The sequence below is a fragment of the Homo sapiens genome, chromosome 2, assembly GCF_000001405.40.
Source record: "Homo sapiens chromosome 2, GRCh38.p14 Primary Assembly".
NCBI classification, from domain to species: Eukaryota; Metazoa; Chordata; class Mammalia; order Primates; family Hominidae; genus Homo; species Homo sapiens.
The window spans coordinates 129,378,989-129,380,185 of NC_000002.12; the positions used below are offsets into that span (position 1 = coordinate 129,378,989).

Genomic DNA, 1,197 nt, shown 5'->3' on the forward strand with positions numbered 1-1,197 from the left:
TAAAGGAATTCAGTTAATGCCGTTTGCATCTCAGCTGCCTCTGATGGATTCCAAGAGTGGGCTTCATTCTGACTTGAGTTTCAGGGTTCTCAGATTGTCTTTAAGATGTGGAGGTATCTCAGGGAAGTAAGAAAAGATATTAAATTATAACCAGAATTCTGAAGCTGTAGGGCAGTATCAGGACTGGAAGGAGGGCAGGGTGTGTGGCTCCTCTTGACTCCACAGGCTGCTGGAGCTGCATTCCTAACCCTTCCATTTTGTGACAGGCAGAGCGGGGTTCAGTTCTTGGCAGCCCAGATTCTGGTTAGAATTTTAATGGTCATCAATTATGTGTTTTATGAGTGCATACCTGCCCATCCCAAGGTATATCTGAAGTACTATTTCCAGAGAAGCAGTGTCATCTGGGGTGCTACCCATGGATCTGGGGGCCCAGAAGGTTATGGTTTCAGTTTCTCTTCATACTAAGTGAGTTTGACTGATCACATTCATGGACTCCTGGCATCTGTATGTGTGGCCATGAGACTCTATAGTCCCCTCCCTCTCACTGTGGGCCTGATCAGTGGCAAGAATGACAAAAGCAAAGTCTTGACAAAGTGCATATGCATTTCACTCTCTCACTTCCCTGTCATTGCTATTAAAAACAAAAACCAACAACAAAAAGAAAACCCACCGAGGCCCTCCCCTAGAGAATGTGCCTGGGCTGGCCCACTAAAGGGAAGTGGGAGACATGCATGTCTGAGCAGCTCGTGGGGAGGGGCCACGCTGGCCCAGCTGAGGTCCATCTGGACTGGCCTGCAGCCAACTGACCCTCAGATATGTGAGCGAGCCCAGCCAAAAGCAGTAGAGGTGTCTATCCCACCTGCAAGAGTACAGACCCCTGCACCAGCCAACATCTACAGGTGAGGTGGAGTCAGTACTTACGGTAGTTTGATGGTGGGGTTAATTACAGTCATAGCCAATGGGAAACTCACTGAAAATTTGAGCAAATCACATGAAAGCAGTGAGCTCCTAAGTGGATGCATGCACACACCCACACTCGTGCACGCATGTGCATGCACACGCACACACACACACACAGCTTCTCTTTGGGTTGCTGTGAGTGCCAAGTTAATGTACTTGGCACTGAGTAGGTTTCCTGCAAATGAATTCTCTCCACCTGTTGCCCTGTAGTCACATTCTCATAGGACTTTTCTTATT

General features: G+C 48.0%; 1 annotated feature.

The window, feature by feature from the left end:
* Nucleotides 694–893: an enhancer, noted in NCBI's record as "active region_16520". NCBI's record gives its function as "activates an Ori minimal core promoter by ATAC-STARR-seq in GM12878 lymphoblastoid cells {active_cell/tissue: GM12878}" and the evidence as "EXISTENCE:reporter gene assay evidence [ECO:0000049][PMID:35858748]".